General features: G+C 41.2%; 1 protein-coding gene across 5 annotated transcripts in view; it reads right to left on the bottom strand.

Annotated features, from left to right (window-relative positions):
- ZBTB38 (zinc finger and BTB domain containing 38) overlaps positions 1–19,483 on the bottom strand; it is a 125,607-nt gene that overhangs the window by 85,152 nt on the left and 20,972 nt on the right. The window contains exon 2 of one of the 5 annotated variants that reach the window (XM_047447856.1): positions 11,734–11,884. The exons of the other annotated variants lie outside the window; for them this stretch is intronic. The gene's annotated coding sequence lies outside the window, so the exon portion shown is untranslated. The remainder of the gene's footprint in view (positions 1–11,733; positions 11,885–19,483) is intronic. 5 annotated transcript variants of the gene reach the window in all.

Raw genomic sequence — 19,483 nt, 5'->3', positions numbered from 1 at the left:
CAATGGCACAATCTCAGCTCACCACAACTTCCACCTCCCGGGTTCAAGCGATTCTCCTGCCTCAGCCTCCCGAGTAGCTGGGATTACAGGCATGTGCCACCACACCTGGCTTATTTTGTATTTTTAGTAGAGATGGAGTTTCTCTATGTTGGTCAGGCTGGTCTTGAACTCCCGACCTCAGGTGATCTCCCTGCCTCAGCCTCCCAAAGTGCTGGGATTACAGGTGTGAGCCACCTGGACTAAAATTTTTTTTTTAAAGTTTTCAGTTTTAGGGATTCTTTATATATCCCAGACACAAGTCCCTTATCAGATATATTTTACAATATTATCTCCCTGTCTATGGTTGTCATTTCATTTCTGGTTGGTGTTATTTGAAGCATAAAAATTTTTAATTTTGATGAAGTCCAACTGGTCTTGAACTCCCGACCTCAGGTGATCTGCCTGCCTCAGCCTCCCAAAGTGCTGGGATTACAGGCGTGAGCCACCACACTCGGCCTAATTTTTTTTTTTAAATTTTTGAGTTTTAGGGATTCTTTATATACCCCAGACAAAAGTCCCTTACCAGATATATATTTTACAATATTATCTCCCTGTCTATGGTTGTCATTTCTTTTCTGGTTGGTGTTATTTGAAGCATAAAAGTTTTTAATTTTGATAAAGTCCAACTTATCAATCTTCTCTTTCATCACTTGTACTTTTGGCATCATATTTGAGAAAACATTATCTAACCCAAGGTCATGAAGATTTACACCTGAGTTTTCTTCTGAGAGTTTTATAGTTTTAGTTCTTACATTTAGATCTATGATACACTTTAAGTTAATTTTGCCTATGGTGTGAGGTAGGGATCCACATTCATTCTTTTCATGTGGCTATCTGGTTGTCCCATAACTATTTGTTGAAAAGATTATTCTTACAATAATTCTGTACATATAAAACTATTCTAAAATAAAGAGTTTATTTAAAAAACTATTCTAAAATAAAGAGTTTATTTATTTTTCCCTCTATTGAATTGTCTTGGCCCCTTTGTCAAAAATCAACTGACCATAAATATTAATATTTATTCTTGGACTCTTAATTCTATTCCATTGATTTAGATATCTATTGTCATGTCAGTACCACACTGTTTTGATTACTATAGCTTCATATTATGTTTGGAAATTAGGAAGTGTGAGTCCACCAACTTTGTTCTCTTTCAAAATCGTTTGGCTATTCTGGATCCCTTGCATTGCCATATGATTTTTAGGATCAGCTTCTCAATTTCTGCAAAAAATACAGCTGGGGTTTTGATAGATGTTAAATGGTACCTGCAGATCAATTTTGGGAGTAATCCCATATTAGCAATATTCAGTCATCTGATTCATAAACCTAGGAAACCTTCTCATTTATTTAGATCTTTGATTTATTTCAGCAATGTTTTGTTGTTTTCAGTGTACAAGTCTTGCAATTCTTTTGTTAAATTTATTCTCGAGTATTTTATTAACTGGTATTGTTTATACTGGGAATCATCTATGCTCACGGACTTAAGAGCTTGTGCTTTCATGATCAAAAGTCTTAAGTCCCAGTCCTGGTTTCACTATTTATTAGCTGCATGTAATGTAAGGTTACTTAGACTGTATCAAGTTCTTTTTCTTCATCTGAGAAAAAGGAAATACTAATACCACCTCATGGGTTTGTTATGCAGATTAAATAAGATAATGCATATGTAACCCTATTCAGACCATGACCTACAGGGTGCAGTCTTGGGGTGGGGGGCAGGGTTGCAGCCCAAGAAACCCAGTCTAGTCACCAAAAGTAATTTCTAATTAACTCATATTAATACTTGCATTTCTCAAACATCACAAAGAGCCCCTTCAATTCCCCTCAGCATCCTTTTCCCCTCCTATCCAAGCCTCTTACACCCCATAGCTTCTGCCTCCCTTTCTTTCTCCCAAACTCCCTGAAATCTTTTCTCCAGTCCTAATCAGCCTTCCTCTGGTCCTTCCGCTCTGTCCAGTTCTTCTTCTGTTGGGGCAGAAAAAGAAATTGGACAAACAAAGCCAGAACTCTTGTTAGTGGGCAGGAAGAGAAGAAAATCAGGGAACACTTAAACTTAATTTATGTCCTATCACTCATGTAAAGTGCTTAGTGCAATGTCTGATATATAATAATGGCTCAATAAATGTTGGATTAAAAATGTTTTTTGTGCTGGTGGTCATTTTATGCTATCTATATTTTATGTTATCTATTTTATGTTAATGATGTGGGGGGTTTAGATCATAACCTCTGAGAATCCAGTCTAGAGGTTGCTACCCAATGGCCCATCCTCACTCATTTGGGTGAATTTTGGGAATTCAAATTTGGAATTATTGTTCTCTTTTCTTCCTCCTGAATCACGCCTCAGAGAATCAGCCCTTGGAAAACTATAAAACTTGTAAAAAGTTCATCTTTAGGGATCCTTGAATACTGTTCGGAGGACACATCTGTTTCCTCCCTAGACCAGCTCCAGGACCCTAAACTCTTTCCCCTCCACAAAACCTTCTAGTATAATACCTTCAAGTGCAGGTCAGGACTCATTATTTAGTGGGTCAGCATGGGTTGCAAGTGATAGAATAAAATAAAACAATAGAAAAGATCCAAGTACATTATAACTAACACTTTCGTTTCGATTTTATAATATGTATGTGAGCTGGGTCTCTCTGTGAAACATATTTTCTATTGTGGTTCAGGGTTTTAAAAAAATGTTTAAAAACCAGTGTTGTAGATCCCTCACTTTCGCTGAGGTGTATAAACAACTCATCAGAGCATAAAGTAAACTCCTCTTAGTGATCTGTCCACTTTTATAGGGATGGAGACCTTAAGTCCTAGGGATGAAGCTCCATCAGTAGTGAAGTATTTGGGGGCACTGAGGCTCTTTCCTGTAATTTACAACACTTGGAGAAGGAGTAACTTCTGTTTGCTGTCTGGACCTACCCTGCTCCCTCATGCTACCCCATAGCCATCCCCTTCTCTCATTCCCACAATATCTACACATTCACACCTTGAACTTGTTGTGGGGTTTTCTATTTTTCAAGACTCTTTCACTTTCTCCATCTCTTCTGGTTTTCACAACTATTCTATGAAGTTGATGGGTCAGACGCAAGTCCTTGCTTGACCACTTAACATACTGTGTGACCTTAACTTCTCAGCCTCAGCTTCCTCAGTTCTGTTATCTATATAAAACCAGAGAAGTCAAGAAATTTGGCCAACATCACACAGCCCAGAAGTGGCAGGACCAGGAACAGAACTAGATTTTCCACCTCCCAGCCTGGTTGTCCTGCAGGCTCCGCTTATGGAAATGCACATCTTTTTTTAGAGGCATGATTCATCTGACTACCTTACAAAGAATGTTTAAAAAGCAGAGAATATTTTGCCCTCCCCTCCCCGCCATATCTAAAAACACTGACTTTTATGGCACCAGGCACAAGACAAACAACTCTTCATGCTTCGTGGTAAGGGGTTATCACACTCAACATCAAAGACTATTTATTTAAGGCTGGGGCGGTCAGAAACAGAAACAAAGTCAAGAGGAGAGGAAAACAAAGTTCCCTGAGTGCTCTGTTTTTGTCCTTTGTGTAGCAGAGTGTCCCCTCTAGTGGCTCTGGAGGAAAATAGCTTCTGGAAAACAAATTTACAGATTTGACATTGACGGAGTCAGAGAATTTGGTGCTTTAGGTGAGCTTAAAGCACTTGGTTCTGTGCTTCCTTTTATTGATGAGAAACTGAGGACAAGAGCAGTGATTCTCAACCAGGGGTGCGTTTGCCCCCTGGAAAACGTTTGGCAACATCTGGAGACTTTTTTATTGTCATTTTGGGGGTAATACCGTCAACAGTGGGTAGAAGCCAGGGATGCTGCCAAACATCCTATAATACACAGGACAGCCCCCCGACCCCAACACAACTATCTGGTCCAGTAAGTCGATAGTGCCGAGGTGAAGAAATCCTAGACTAGAAAAATGACGGGACCTGCCCAGGGACTTACAGCTTATTCACAGCTTTTGACAGCTCAGACTAAGCACTCTCTTTTTGTTCCTTACTTTTTAAAAATTAGAATTGTTAATGATTCAAAAATAATACATGTTCATAAATAAGAGTAATATAATAAAATATAATTAAAAGATTTTCCATCCCCTCATGCCTCCCCAGAATCAATGTTAAAATCTTTGGTGGTTGATTAGGCCGAACTGTATTAGAAATGACAATTGTAGACCCTTTTTGATGTACAAAAATGGCAATTTCTGATGGCAAAGCTTAAGACGTTCATCCCTCACTCCAGGCACACGCCGAAACAAGCATCAAGGCACACAGGGGATTCTTTTGACTTTGCTTGTCATACAGGAGTTAGAGTCAACAGCACAGATTATAAGCAGCACTGTGGGGTCCCAGAGCTAAGATGGTCTATGACAGACATTAGAGGACACTGAATTGTGTGGTGCATGTGTTTAATGCCTCTTTGACACTTGGGATCTCACCCTTTTGTAGAGAGCTTGGTTCAGGATTAGAGTCTTCTGTAGGCTATGCTGTCTAACTAGAAATTAGTAAGATTCTTTTGTTGTTTTTGTATTTATTATTATGGGCACTTTATAGGAAGCACTGTTGGTTTTCTATTGAATATGAGGTTTTAAAACTTCATCTTATGACAAATTTATAAGAAAAACTAAGACAACTCAAAAAAATTTTGTTGTTTTTGTTTATGAGACAGGGTCTTGCTCTGTTGCCCAGGCTGGAGTGCAGTGGTGTGATCATGGCTCACTCCAACCTCAACCTTCAGGGCTCAAGCAATCCTCCCACCTCAGCCTCCTGAGTAGCTGGAACCACAGGCATGGACCACCATGCCTGGCTAATTTTTTAACTTTTTGTAGAGATGAGGTCTTGCTGTGTTGTCCAGGCCAGTCTCGAACTCCTGGGCTCAAGTGATCCTCCTGCGTTGGCCTCCCAAAGTGCTGGGATTACAGGCATGAGCCACTGCACCTGGCCCATTATCTTTTTATTGATTACTGTTTTTCTTATCTTCACTGTGCCATTTGACCACATTCTTATCTTCAAAAAATACTGTCCTTTGCTGGACTAAGAATGCTCTACTATCCTGGATCTTCTTTGTCTCTTGTGGCAAACACTGTTGTTAGCCTACACAATTGCCACTACCTCTTCCTTCCTTCTTGCTGGGCACAGCTCACCACCCACCATAGGGGCTGACAATGGCAGATAGGCACATGCTCAGCCTACCTCGCAACTAAGGCATGGATGTGTGGCATGATCCTGGCCAATGGCACATGAAGGGAAGTTTCTTGGGTAGAGCACTGGGAAAAAGTTTCTTTCCTTAAAAGCCAGAGATTCAGGTTTCTGTAGGCAATTGTATGAAGAGGTGATTCCTTGAAGAGCAGCAGCATCTTCCAACAATGAGGGGGAAGGTCAGAGTGTAAAAACCAGTACATTAAGATGGTGAAGAGAAAGGTGGAAGAGCTGGGTCCTTGGCAACACTGGTAAGTCCTGGGCCAACTCGAGAACCACCTACTTCCAGATTTCCTGTTAGTAAGATAATATGTCTTTGTCATTTATGCCATTTGTAGTTCAGTGTTCCTTACTTGCAGCCAAAATCTTCCTTACTGAGCACTCATATGACCACATAACAGCTACTCACTGGCCTCCTAATGGCTCTCCTTGGTCGCCCAGCCCCAATCCACCATCCTGAATCCAGTCCCTTCTCTCTAAAGAGCCAGTTTGGTTAGAGAATTCTGTAGTTCAAGCCTTTAGTGGTAGTATTGTGCCAAATCAAAGAAGCCACTGACAAAAGACCACAAATTCTATGTTTTCATGCATATAAAATGTCCAGAACAGGGAAATCTATAGGGGCAGAAAATAGATTAGTGGTTGCTTAGGGCTGGGATGGAGATAGGGGCTTAGGGAGGTGACAGCCAAAGGGTACAAGGTTTCTTTTTGAAGTGATGAAAATTTCCTAAAAGTGACTATGTTGATGGTTGCATTTGTCTGTGACTATACTAAAAAAATTTGAATTATACACTTTAAAAGGGTGCATTTTACACTTTAAATAGGTGAATTGAATGATGTGTGAATCATATCATAATAAAGCCATTTTTAAAAGAACATTTCAGTGGTGATCTATTATCTAGAAAATAAAGCACAAATTCATTTCCTTGACTTTCAAAGTTTTCCACCCTCTGGCCTCAAACTATCATCTAATTTAAATCCTCCTGACTTCCCTATATGGCAGACAATTGGACAGATCGCAAGGCTTCCAGACACACAACCTGTGCTTCACTGCTTCTCTGCCTTTGCTCCTTTGTTCCCTGGGCCTGGCAGGATCCCTCCCACCATCTTGGTCTATCAAAATTTAACTTGCCTCTGAGGTTCAATTCAAATGTTCTCCCTAATATTTCTGCCTGGAAAGCCAGGCAGAAATGCCCCTTGCACCTCTGAATTAGTAGAATTCAACAGACTTCCTGTGGCGCTTACCTTGTCCTCTTTCATAGGCTGATTGGCTATATGACCACAGTTTCTGAATCAGAAGTTGGTGCTAATACTGTGTCAGTAAGAAAGAATATTACAAACCAGGACTACTTTAGAAAATTTGGATTATGTGGCTACCATAATAGCCTTCCCACTAGAGTGTATGATCTTTATTGGGAAACATCTTTTCCTCTCTCACAGAGTTCTCACCACGGTCTCTCAGATGAATAAAAGAGCTTAGGTTCCTTTTTTCTCTACAATGCATATAAAATGTGGTTAGGTGGTGTTAATTAAGGGTCTTACCTCTGCATTATACAACAAATAAATAAAAGCTAAGTTGATGATACAAACTTTTTTAAAGACCACAAAAATAGCCAGGCGCAGTGGTTCATGCTGTAATCCCAGCACTTTGGGAGGCTGAGGTGGGCAGATCACCTGAGCTCAGGAGTTCAAGACAAAAATTAGCAGGGCGTGGTGGCGGGTGCCTGTAGTCCCAGCTACTCAGGAGGCCGAGGCAGGAGAATCGCTTGAACCCCGGAGCCGGAACTTGCAGTGAGCCGAGATTGCGCCACTGCACTCAAGCCTGGGCAACAGAGCGAGACTTCATCTCGAAACAAACAAACAAATGAACAAACAAACAAAACAAAACAAAAAACAAAAGATGACAAAAATACCAAATGGAAAAATAAAAGAATATTTTTATAATGGAGGGTGCCTTCCTGAATAAGTCACAAAACTCCAAATACCATAAAGTAAGTCATTGATAGATTTCTTTGCATAAAAACCCTGTTTGGCTAAAGACACCATAAACACTGTTGAAAGACAAATGACATACTTTGAGAAAATATTTTCAGGAGAATAATAAAGGATTAATATCAGTGCTAATAGAACAAACAACACACAAGAAAGAGGGCAAAGAAAAAAAAGTAAGTCATAGAAAAAGTACCAATGACAAATAGTATATAAAACATGTTCAATATCACTAGCGTCAGGGAAATGGAGACCAACACAAGGAGGGTCATTTGCCTGTCGCATTGGCAAACATGGAAAAGATTAAGAATATGCCTAATGGTCAAGTGTATGGAGAAAAGATCAAACACAAATAGTAGTAATGAGAAAACAAATTGGTTCTATATAATTTATAACATATATTATACATAATTTTGAAGACAGCAATTTGGTAGTGATCTAATTATTTTCTGCAATGAACAGATATTACATTTATAGTTCCCAAGTGAACTTTTAAAAAAAGTCATTCTTGATGATTAATGAAGGAAATCTTAAATCTTTTTTCCCCAATTTCTCCATTCTAAGACACTTATATAGAATACGCTTATTAAGATAATTTCCCAGTTGTTTGCAATAACAAATAAGGAAGCCTAGCAGGAACAATCATCTTTAAAAGCTCTCCTCTAACACTTTAAGTGAGAATTTAAGAATTGCCCATATTTGCCTGGACTGATACAGCCAGAGCACTTGACCAATTGACCAACTCGATGAGGAGAGCAGGGAGGGGGACGAGATGCTGCTCTGCCTTGGTTTCCCCATCCCTGGCTTCCCTTGATTGGTATTTGGTTGTGTCAATGTGTTTTGTTTCCCTGATGCTTGGTGAGGCTTTCATGTAAGGTTAGATGTAGTACAGAATTGTGTCAGTCTTTATGGTCGACCAAATACCGAGGCTTCCCCTGAACCTGGCATATTTTCTTACCCTACTGTCTTTCCTAAACAGAGCCGCAGCAGCCCTGTAACACTTTTGTATGAGTGAGAAAAGGTGTCCCTTGAAGTGTAGCCCCATGCCAGGATGCAAGGCTGGGCGAGGGAAGAGCCGTCTGTCTTCTCACCCCTGGGCCACTGTATGAGCAGTCCTATTCCTTACTCCAGCCCTAGTCCAACTGCTGTGCAGGAAATCCTAACAAATTGCCATTTCCTCACTTCCCATGGTCCCAGGGCACAGCAGCATCTGCTACAGTTAATGCTTTCTTTCCATGGCTCCTCTTTCAGAACTGCCCTTTGAGATTTCATCAGGGCTCCACATCGCCTTTGTTAATGCACTTGGCCACACAACCCCCACTCCACCACACACACACAAACACACACCTATAGGCTGAGTGTTCACCCATGAAACAGAGTGGCAGAGAAGTTAATTGGTGTCCTTTTTACTGCTGCGGCCTTACCAGCAAAAAAGCATGATAAGGGAATTTCTTCTTAGCTTTGAATTTTGTGTCTTGGGCTGGCTCTCCTTCCTCAGGGGGAAAGAAATAGCCCTTTGTGCTTTGGAGCCTAAAACAGAGAAGTTTTTGGGCTCCCAGGATAAAGCCCCTCCACTCAGATCTTTGTTTGAAATCCAGACTGATTAAGAAGAATTATTCAGGATGGTGGAGACAGTTGCTGTGGCTAAAGGAGGAGAGGATGGTCCAGCCCTACTGGTGACCCCCCTAAGATGGGAAGTCTGTGTGGGAGGTGGGTGTTTGGGCTAGAGATTTACAGGGTGGCAGGGATCTACATCCCACCCCTGCTGTGTGAACTCAGGTGGGAGCTACTGGAAAGCCTGTGGAGGCTGCACACTGTACGCTCTGACTTTGAGAGCCGGAGTAGGGCTCTCCATGGATAACCTGTGGCCAGGGGAGACAAGCACAGCACCAAGACGCCTTTCCATGGCCCCCTAGAGGGTCCAACTAGCAGAAAAGACTAGAACATGGAGTAGCAGGAGTAGCGGTTACCACGACAACCACCACGGTCTATGAATCAGGATATCCCCATTTCTCTGGGCATGTGAAAGACTAGGGCTCCTGTACATGCCCATGGAGGGGTCAGGAAGACCCAGTAATCAGGATATTAGACTATTTCCCAACCTTGGAGAGTAAGGACCTTGTAGCCAAGTTTAATCTGATTTTAGAGAAGTACAGGAATGTGACATTCTTTGCCTCTGGGTATTGCTATTACACAGCATTCTTACCTGTTACCCACATTTATCTCTATAATGTAATCTATGAGATTCCCTGGAAAGAGAGGAGTGCTTGTACTTTGAGGAGAGCTTCCTCAACTCTCCTTCCTCTCATTGTAATCTTTACCTCTTAGAAATTCTAAGAGAATATAAACTAAGCATGTATAGCTTAGTTTATAACAATGTGTGCATATATTAATTTAGTGGAAACATGACTTCTTAGGATCTTGCCATGTGCTCCACTACCCATCCTAAAAATAAGATGAAAACAGGATCTTCAAGAAGAATCGTGAGAAAGAGGCCTGGAATTAGGCCTAGACCCTCCATCTTGGTTACGCCTATCATTCTCCCAGTGCCCATCATTCTCCCAGTGCCCATCACCTGAGGAACAACAGGATGAACTGCAAGTCCTTAAACAAATGGATTTAGTTCCTCTGACTCAATCAGAGTTTTGCAGTAATAGCCATTATGCAAAAAGCAATGTGTTAAGTATTCTGAGAGACAGAGAGAAGTAAAAGATATGGGTACTTCCAGGAGGAAGGTACTGCCTGCCTGGAGAGATATGCCGATGAATCCCGAGGTGGGGCTGTGCTGACCATGAGCAAGGGAGGATGTAGGGAGCCCAGAAAGCTACAAGGACTGGACCAGTCAGGAAGGCTCCCTGGAAGAGAGCTTCTAGGAGGAAACTTTTGCCCATCCAATTTCTCCATTTCAGTCAGCTGGGAGAGAGAGGAGGGGAAAGAGAGAGAAACTCCAGGGAAGAAGAAGCTGGCTGGACAAAGGGACAGAGATGAGAATGGCCACCACCTGATTGCGAGGCAGCATGTTGGAAGCAATGGGGAATGCATGGAGTGTGGCCTGGAAAGTGGGACCAGCTTTCAATGCTGTATAGAGTTTTTCAGACACTGGGCAGCTGGGTTTTCAGCTCAGGAATTCCATGCTGAGAGCAGGGTTTAAAGAGGATTAGCAGGCAGCTCACGTGGGATATACTGAGTGTTAAGGGTTTTGTAGGTTAGTAATGATTTCCTTGTAATAACGTTTATGGTATTTTTTAAAAGTTAACTTTGAGATACAAGCATTGTGTGTATTGTGCACAGAACTTTGAAAGAGATTATACCTTGATACCACTTAATCCACACTATTTGTAAGAGTGTGAAGGGATTATTGACTTACGAAATCAACAAGTCCAACCAAGAGGGCCTGAGTTGAAGAAATTTTGGGATAAGACCAGATACCCAAGTGTTGACTTCATAAGGTGGCTTATGAATTCCTGCAGCAGTTAGCTGATGATCATGTTGTTCTGCAAGACCACACTTGCCGGAGGAACAACTAGAGTGTTCCTGGAGATAACTGCTGGAGTCCAGGATAGCTTCCAAGAAGCTGTCTCCATCTACAGTGAGTAACAGTGAACCAGGACTGTCATCAGACAGCTAGGAGCAATCTCACTGCACTCAATGCCTCATTTGCTATGCTCATGTGTCCATTTATTCATTCACTCATTCATTCAAGTATTTCTACCTGCTAAGGCGCTGTGGAAGATACAGGCTTCAGCAATGTGTGGCATGGTCCATAATCCATGGGAGAAACATACATACATACAAATGATAGTGGAGCCATTGTTCTCTCTTTCCTTCTTCCCCCTTCTCCCCTTCCCCCCTTCCCAATGCCCTTTCCCTCTGGAAAACTGAAATATCTATTGTATTGGTAGGTAATTGATTCTCAATTTTCTTCCATGAGTTCTAATGTCTTTTGCTTTTTGGTTAGTAGCAAGAGTGAAGACATTCAATGAGAAATTTTAGAATTCTTTACTTTTCTCTACTTTCTAAGAGGTGTGGGTTGGAGGAAGCTTGGGGGTAAGTGATGCAAAAGGGGAAAGATGAAAAAGGGGCATCACCCTCAGGGGGAAGGGCCAGAACTCATGGAAAGAAGAGAGGGTTGGGTTGAGGTCTGAGGGCTTGGTTTGGAGAGAAAGAAAGAGGAGGCGGTAGAAGAGAAATGGTGAAGGTGACAGAGACAGAGAGATTGATGGGGAGGAGAAAAGAGAGAGCCTCTGGGCTTAAACACCCCTGGTGAACTGAGGGATTTGGGACGAAGGGACTCTTGTCTGTCTGGAGGAAGTTTTGCTGTGCATTATGCCCTGAAACTCCTTCATCATGGTCTGCACATACTCTGCTACTTTTCAAGGTTTGGGGATGGGGGAAGGGGAGGTCAGGGTTTGTTGGTTTGTTTGTTCATTTGTTTGGCATGCAAACTAGTACTACTAAGACTGAAGGCAGCTTAGTCTTATTTGGGGGTTCTTATGTTACCTTCAATTTTGCAGTCGAGTGTCTTCAGGTTTCCTTTGTCTGTGCATGCTTGATATCTGGGCTCACTGGCCTGTGAGTTCGCTGTGATCAGAGATATGGCTTTTATGGCTGCAGCATGTAGTGGCCCAGCTCAGCGGGGCCACTCCTTCATCTGGGGAAAATACAGGCTTCACTCTCTACTCTGCCTAGAGAGCTGCTTTGTGGCAAAGATCATCCATCCCTCTCGTCCACTCTCTGGCTTACCCCATTTGTCATGTATTATGCCTATAATTCATTTTGCTTTAAGTTCTCCCCCAGTTCCCTTCACCCATGTATACCATCATCACCCCATTTTCCTAGCTATTCCTTGAGCCAACCCTAGCTGGCTTTCCCTTTATGAAATGCTTCATCTGTTCTTGCCTGCTTACTCATCTCTCTCTTAAACTTGAAGCCCTCCCATTGACCTTCCCTCCATCTGTATATCTTCACTCTAAACATACTCTGAATCTTACCCCTTCTACAACATTCTGATTCTGAGAGTTCAGATTATCATGGGTTCTTTCATAGTCTATACATACCTTGAGGACACAGACATATTTATTTGTGTAACCCCAGAAGGAGGCAGGTGCTGGGATTATACATCCCAGATAGCCACACGTCTCCCTCTCTCACTTCATTTGGGTTTCTGCATGAAATAGCAGCCCACTCTCTCCACTCTAGCTTCTTTTTCTGCTCTATTTTTCTTTATCACTTGATATATAAAAAAATTATTTATTGAATTGCTGACTATCTGCCTCCCCTGCTCCCCTAGAGTGTAAGCTTGGTGAGAGCAAGGACTTTGTCTGCAGCATTAGGCCAAAACCATGCCTGGCATATTTATTGGGTAAATGAATTCTTGGTAGGTCTCAAGTACTCAGTCAATATGGAACTGAATTAAATAATGAGAAGTAAACCTCTAGAAACAAAACCTTACAAAAACAAGACTTTATCTTTGTATTGAAATCTCCAACAACCTGAGGTTCAAATGGTATCTTCCTCTCCCATGGGATTTAAAAACCCCTCAAAAATATAAGCTTAACTCATCTATAAATGAATTGTTAGATCACGATTGCACTTAATATTTAACATTTTCAACCTATAATATTGAATCTGAGAAAAGCGAAAAGGGAAAATTAATGACAATACTTTTTTTTTTTTTTTTTTTTTTAAGAGACAGAGTCTTGCTCTGTTACCCAGGCTGGAGTGCAGTGGAATGATTACAGCTAACTCCCAGGCTCAAGTAATCCTCCTGCCTCAGTCTCCCACGTAACTAGGACTACAGGCATGTGCCACTGTGCCTGGCTTTAAAAATTTTTTTTTGTAGTGACAGGGTCACTATGTTGCCCAGATAGGATCTGTCTGGTCATGAACCCCTGGCCTCAAGCAATCTTCCTGCCTCAGCCTCCCAAAGTCCTAGGGAGGGAACTTTCTCTCCACCATGCCTGGTCTGATATATGTTTTTGTACTATTAAAGAAAAGTATTGATAATTTTATCTTTGCAAGACAATTTTTATTTTGCTAAGCTGACTTGGACCAGACATTTACATTGGCATTTGGAATGAATGTATGTCATATGCCTCTTTTTAAAAATTGTGAATTGTATATTAGGAGCATTCATAAAACATGGTTGTACCATTTAAAGGATAAGTATGAAGCAAGCAACTGGTCAATTACTTCTCAAGTCAAATAACAGTAATGTCAGTTCTCTAGGAGCCCCTAGCATTCCTTTCTGAGTTCTGAGCACAACCACCTCCCTGACCTAGAGATAACACAACCCTACCCTGTGTGATAATCTTTCACTGGCTTTTCTTTATAGTTTAGCAACCCACGTTTTATAATATAAATTTTTTTCAAAATAATAATGCACATTGTTAAGAAAAAATAAATAAAGCAATGGTGAACTGTCTTCTCCAGTACTACTGTACAAAGGCAATCGTTTCTTACCTTTTCAGACATTTCTTCTGGTAGACATCTCCATATCTTTAAGCAATATGCTTATATTGCTAGCGCATGCTGTATTCATTTTAAGAGAGTGAGAGTAGAGGAAAGGAATGTTCTTACCAACAGAATGAAAATTTGAATTTTATCAGAACTTTTCTTAGCAACACTTGATGCTAGAAGGCATTGGAACAATTTTTCCATGTTTCAAGAAAAAAACAATTTTCAAACTAAAAATACACTTTTGACTCATATATCAATTAAAGGTGATAATTAAATATGATGTCAAAGAAAATTGATCACCTATACATCCTTTCTAAAGAAGTTACCTGAGGATCTGTTTCAGCAAACCAAGGAATTAAGACCAGAAAGAACAAAATGTAGACTCCAAGCAATTTAATCCAGTGAAGACCCAGAGAGCAAGACGTCCAAATTGAAGTAGGTGAGGTCTCAGGAGCAAAGAAGAGGATTTGATAGAATTACTGATTACATAAGGAGACTGAATAAACTTGAGGGATAAAATGATGACAAAGATGCTCAGAAAGGCAAATACAAACTCCAGTGAAAAAAACCAAAAGACTATACAAGAAAAGAAATATAATCAGAGTGGTTACTAAACCTACAATATTTTTCATGGTCACCATAATGTAAGCCCTGTTACTCATTTTCAACTCCTAGACTAAACCTATAAAGAAAGCACAAAAGACTTCATTTTAGTCACAACACAGACTACAAATGTCATAGAGGATCTTTTCTTATCCCCGATGTGTAAACGTAATGATTCTATGTCTAATGGACTCATGTCCTTCAGCTCTAGGAAATGTCTTCTATTTCTCAATATGCATTTTCTCTTACTGTCACTACTATTAGTCAGCTGTGGAGCATCCTGGATTAGCCCTCTAAGACTCTTTCGTTTTATGATTTCTATCTTTTTGTCCTCTTTGGGAGATTTCTTTGAATTTATATTCTAATGCTTTTGTTTAAAAATATATAGAGATATTTTTGTAAATGTTTTAAATATCCAAGGGCTTCTAACAATGCTCTGATTTTTCTTTTTTCATTGCATCCTGTTCTTTTATGATGCAATATCTCATCAAATTTCTCAGGGGTGCCAACTGGGGGTTTCTTTCTTCCCTTCTGTTTCTCATCTTTACTCTTTTCTTGGGCCATTCTTGTTTTTATTTTTATCTGTCTTTCGTGATGTATTTTTATTTATTTTTTTGAGACAGAGTCTCACTCTGTTGCCCAGGCTGGAGTGCAGTGGCATGATCTCAGCTCACTTCAACCTCTGCCTCCCAGGTTCAAGTGATTCTTGTGCCTCAGCCTCTCAAGTTGCTGGGATTACAGATCTGCACCACTACACCCAGCTAATTTTTGTATCGTGTTGTATTCTTTCTTCAAGTATCTGATCATCCTCAGTTGTCTTTAATTCAGAATGAGACAATAAGGTGCTAATTGGCTTTGGGGTTTTTTGTTTGTTTGTTTGCTTGTTTTTTGCACCTGGAATGAGCTTACTAGTGGTGATTTAACCTTGTGGTGATTTAGCGGTTAACTGCTGCATGATCTCAAACAGCACTCTGTGCTTTAGTTTCTTCCTAGAGTTGTGAATATTAAATGAATTAATATATAATGTACTAATTGCAGTGTTTTATAACTATTTGCTGCTTCTATTACTTGCATTATAATTACTTGGTAGGGACTCAGCTATTTAGCTAGGGAATTCCTAAATGTCAGGATATCAGGAGTTTCATTTTTGGGGCCACCTCATTTTTAGAGAGAAGAGCAAGTCTGTCAGATTTTTAGTGGAGTGAGGGAGAAAAGGTAGAGGAGGGCCTGTCTGGCTGCCAAGTGGGGTGAAAGGCTAAGTGCTCCTTTGGGGTATTTCATGAATCATGGTGATTTCAGCCCCATCACTCTCTCAGCTGATGTTTATGAGTTGCCTAGTCTCTTAGATTTTGCATTGCAAAGATTTCCTCCTCAGTTCTAGCCTCCCCCACCCTTACTCTTGTAATATAGGTTTGGCTTCCTTTATCTTTCTTCTACCTCCACTTCTCCATCCACTGTTTACCCTCCAGAAATTCTGTAAAATTGCTTCTCTGCCGGGAGTCCCTTTACCATTACTATGGTGATTATCACTTTTTAAATGCCATTACTATCATTTTAGTGGGGTCTTGGTGAGGATAAATCAAGTGTGCTTATCTGCCATCTTGAATCAGATACTCATTGGCTCTTGACAGATACAGTGCCAGGTTCCATGTTTGAAATCCTAGCTCGTTTATGTGCTTTACTTACACTTGTACAGTCCTTTAAGCTTGAGTAAGACGAGAAAAGGAGGGAAGAAAGGAAATGGTAGCCACATTGACTTGCTTTAGTTGAGGGCCCTTTGACGATATTCTACTAATGCATTCCCCTCCTGGAAGGATCTAAATTTGCAGTCAGCAGGAGAGAGGATTTTAGGCTAAGGTTCAGGAAAGACACTGCAAGTAATGATAAAAATAAATCACTTAAAGAGGAAGATATAATTACTTCCAAGTTCCAAAGCTATTATGAGCATTTCTTTTACTGTAACTACTACTGGATAATTCCTCCATGGCACTATTGCTGGAAATCAGCATGTATATTAGCTCAAGAATAGATGTGGGCTATTTCTACAAAATACAGTAGCAGTTCCATTATGAATAACAATTATTCACGGGCTTATGATTTATCATTTCCATTACATTTACCATATGACCATATATAGTAAAATTAGGCCACTCCTTTGAAGCTCAAGATGGTGGAATTCACAAGCATTTATGATATTTAAGCATTTTAAAATGTTATGGGCAAATACAAATAACTTCAATAGATTAAGAACTACCCTTCAAACAAATAATTACAAATAATAATAGATTGGCAACCACAACTGTAATTAAATAATCTACTAATGGGTAATCTATGTTAAAGGAAAATGTGTTTTAACCATGACATATGTATCAGTCAGGGTCTAATCAGAACAAGAGAAACCATTACATGTATTTATAACAGAAGGAATATAATATAGAGACTTGGTTACACAGGTGACAGAGAATCTGAGAAGCTAAGAATAGTGACAGCAGGAAGTCACTCCCAATCCTGGACTGAAGGAACCATTGGAGGAGATGGTGTTACCAATGTCCAGGGACTAGGGTCACTGAGAACAGCCACAACCATGGCAGCCTTTCTGGCAGGAACTGGAGCCAGGCCTCTGCTACTGTCAGACGCACCATCCACATCTGAGAGGCTTAGGGAGAGAAACCCTGGTCTTTTCCTTCCTCCTGCCTTCCAGTGTTTCTCATTGGCTGAGCCCAGCCGGAGCCTAGGTGACCTGGCAGCCAGAGAAATCTGTTTGCAAAAGTGGGCACTGGTAAGACAAAGAGCAGAGTAGGTGAAGGGTGAGGAAGGAGTCTGAAACCAAACAGGCCCGTGTATAATGTATTTTACACAGCGTGGTCCTTCCTTAGGTTAAACATATGCTAAGAGACTATATATTATAGAAATATATGTGTACATGCCTCTATGGCTCTATATATACTCAGATCAAATTATGTCTTGTCCAGTCAAGTCAAGACTGTCTTAATGAATTCAGATCAGGTTCAAATGAGCCATAAACTATTGCTCCTCTGGCCACAAATTATACTTTTAATTTTTTAAACCAAGAAGCACATCACCCCACCACCTTTGAAAGTAGAGACAATTTCTCTACTCACATTTTGTCTGTAACCCTAACACTAGGAGCATAGAGTCTAAGATGCACAACTACAATTCCCATGACTGCAGAAATGCCATGCAGCCCACGCATATGTAACTCATCAACTGTGTGGCGTTTGAAACAGTGACAACTAACTTGAATATGCTTTGGTAATTTTCATGAGAATATAAAAGCAGTGCATTCTGAAACCTAGGCTTCACAACTGATGAGGAACAGTTCTTTGGTTCTTCCTTTATAAAAGCTAGTGGCGGAAGTGCTGAACCAGCTGTTTCCCTCAGTAATTTCCACCAGGCAGATGGCAGAATAAAACATTCGTAGTAGACAGTGCTTTCTTTCAGAGACTGAAATGTACAGGTACGTGAAGAAAGCTTGAGGTTTGGCCTTCTTCATGTGTGAGCATTGCACCACACACACACACACACACACACACACACACACAAAACAAAACAAAAAACCTCGGAGAGTTTGAGAGGCAGCAGGGGTGCCTTCAGCCTGTGTTTTCTAGAAAGTCTGATGGCTGGCAATGTGGAGTGGACCAGGCTGAGCCCAGCTGGGCACTGGCTCATTTCCTATTTACCCCTCGTCTGAGCGTCTCACTGTAGCACTCCCTTTATTCAGTAAAACTTTACACCAAGAGGAAGTAAAAATATGGAGCTGCCAACCGCGCTGCCCTTTTCATCCTGACCTTTGTTGCAACAGAGTAATAGCTTGGATGAATGAAAGGGAACTGTATGATTAATTCTAAATAATTATAACAAAAATGGGTAGAAGGGAGGAAAGGAGAAAGGGTGGGATAAATTAAAGGAGGAGTGGCTCACGAGGAAATTTCTCCAGCCAATGGGAAGCGTTTATTTCAATGCTGCTAAGCCCTTCCTCACTCCAGCGTCAAGGTTATTCACAGAGAAAATCCCCTAATAACAGGTTATCAGCTCTGGCTAATCACCAGGAGTGTTAAAATAGCTAGAGGACCAGGCCTGTTTAATCAGACTGTCTGGGGTGACACCTGGGTATCAGTATTTTTTAAAGGTACCCTGTGATTTCAACGTGCAGCCAGGGTGGAGACTCTCTGAGGTGAGCCCCACCTTGGATATATCATGGCCAAAGGTTAAACAACAGGAGCTTCAGAGAGAGGTGATTGCTTTAACTGGTAAGAAATCACAGCCACTATTTAGAGCAGTGGAGCCCAGTAGGTATTATTCCAGGAAATTTCTTCAGCCTCTGTAAGCCAGAAACTGCCCCCGAAGCCCTGCCGGGAACAGACATTGCCTTCCACTCATACCCTTCTGAGCAGACATTCTCAGTGGGGGTGGCCTTGTCCCCCGGGAGGTCTTTGGGAAATCCATGGGGGTGTCTTCAGTTGTCACAATGATTTGGTGGGTGAGGGCCTGGGGGAAAACTAAGCTGTTAGAATGGGCAAGGGAGGGATGGGAAGGAAACTAGCATTGGAACCTATCGTAGGTTAAGCACTACCAGCCTCCCACCTCCCACCCCAAGACACACCCACACACACACCCATGCACCACAACCATAAGCAGCCTTTCTGAGCTCAGGGAGAAGTAATATGCCAACACAGGGAAGCTAAGAGATGGAACCCAGGAAAGAGATGGGAGAATACTGTCCTTGCATAGTAAGGCCAGGATAATTAGTTTACATAAAATAGGGTCAAAGTTGAATTAGCAGAAGCACTATGAATCTCACATGCAAATAGATGGGTTGAGAAAAGAAAAGTCTAGGAGAGAATGAGCTGCAGGCCGAGCAGAAGCCCTCATTTCTTCATGCCCCCATGTATACACCACCATGGGCCAGAGCTCACCTGTTCCCAGCATGTAGTCCAACATCAGCTGTCCAGGCCCTTGCAGCCATAGCCAAGGGTAGCCCTGTGGTTGCTCCTCCATATCTGTGTCACAGGACTGACCTTTACCAACCCTCCCAAAGCCATTAAAAAAAAAAAAAGTTCTGCCATCTGGGAACACTGTGCCTCCCTTTCCCACAGAAACCACTAGAGCTTCTTCCTAAGCCATACATCTATCTGGAGTGGGTGCCCCATTTTTCCAACTTATCCCA

This window comes from Homo sapiens, chromosome 3 (assembly GCF_000001405.40).
Source record: "Homo sapiens chromosome 3, GRCh38.p14 Primary Assembly".
Lineage (NCBI taxonomy): Eukaryota > Metazoa > Chordata > Mammalia > Primates > Hominidae > Homo > Homo sapiens.
Note: the sequence above shows the minus strand (reverse complement) of the source record. Positions and strands in the feature narration are given on the sequence as shown.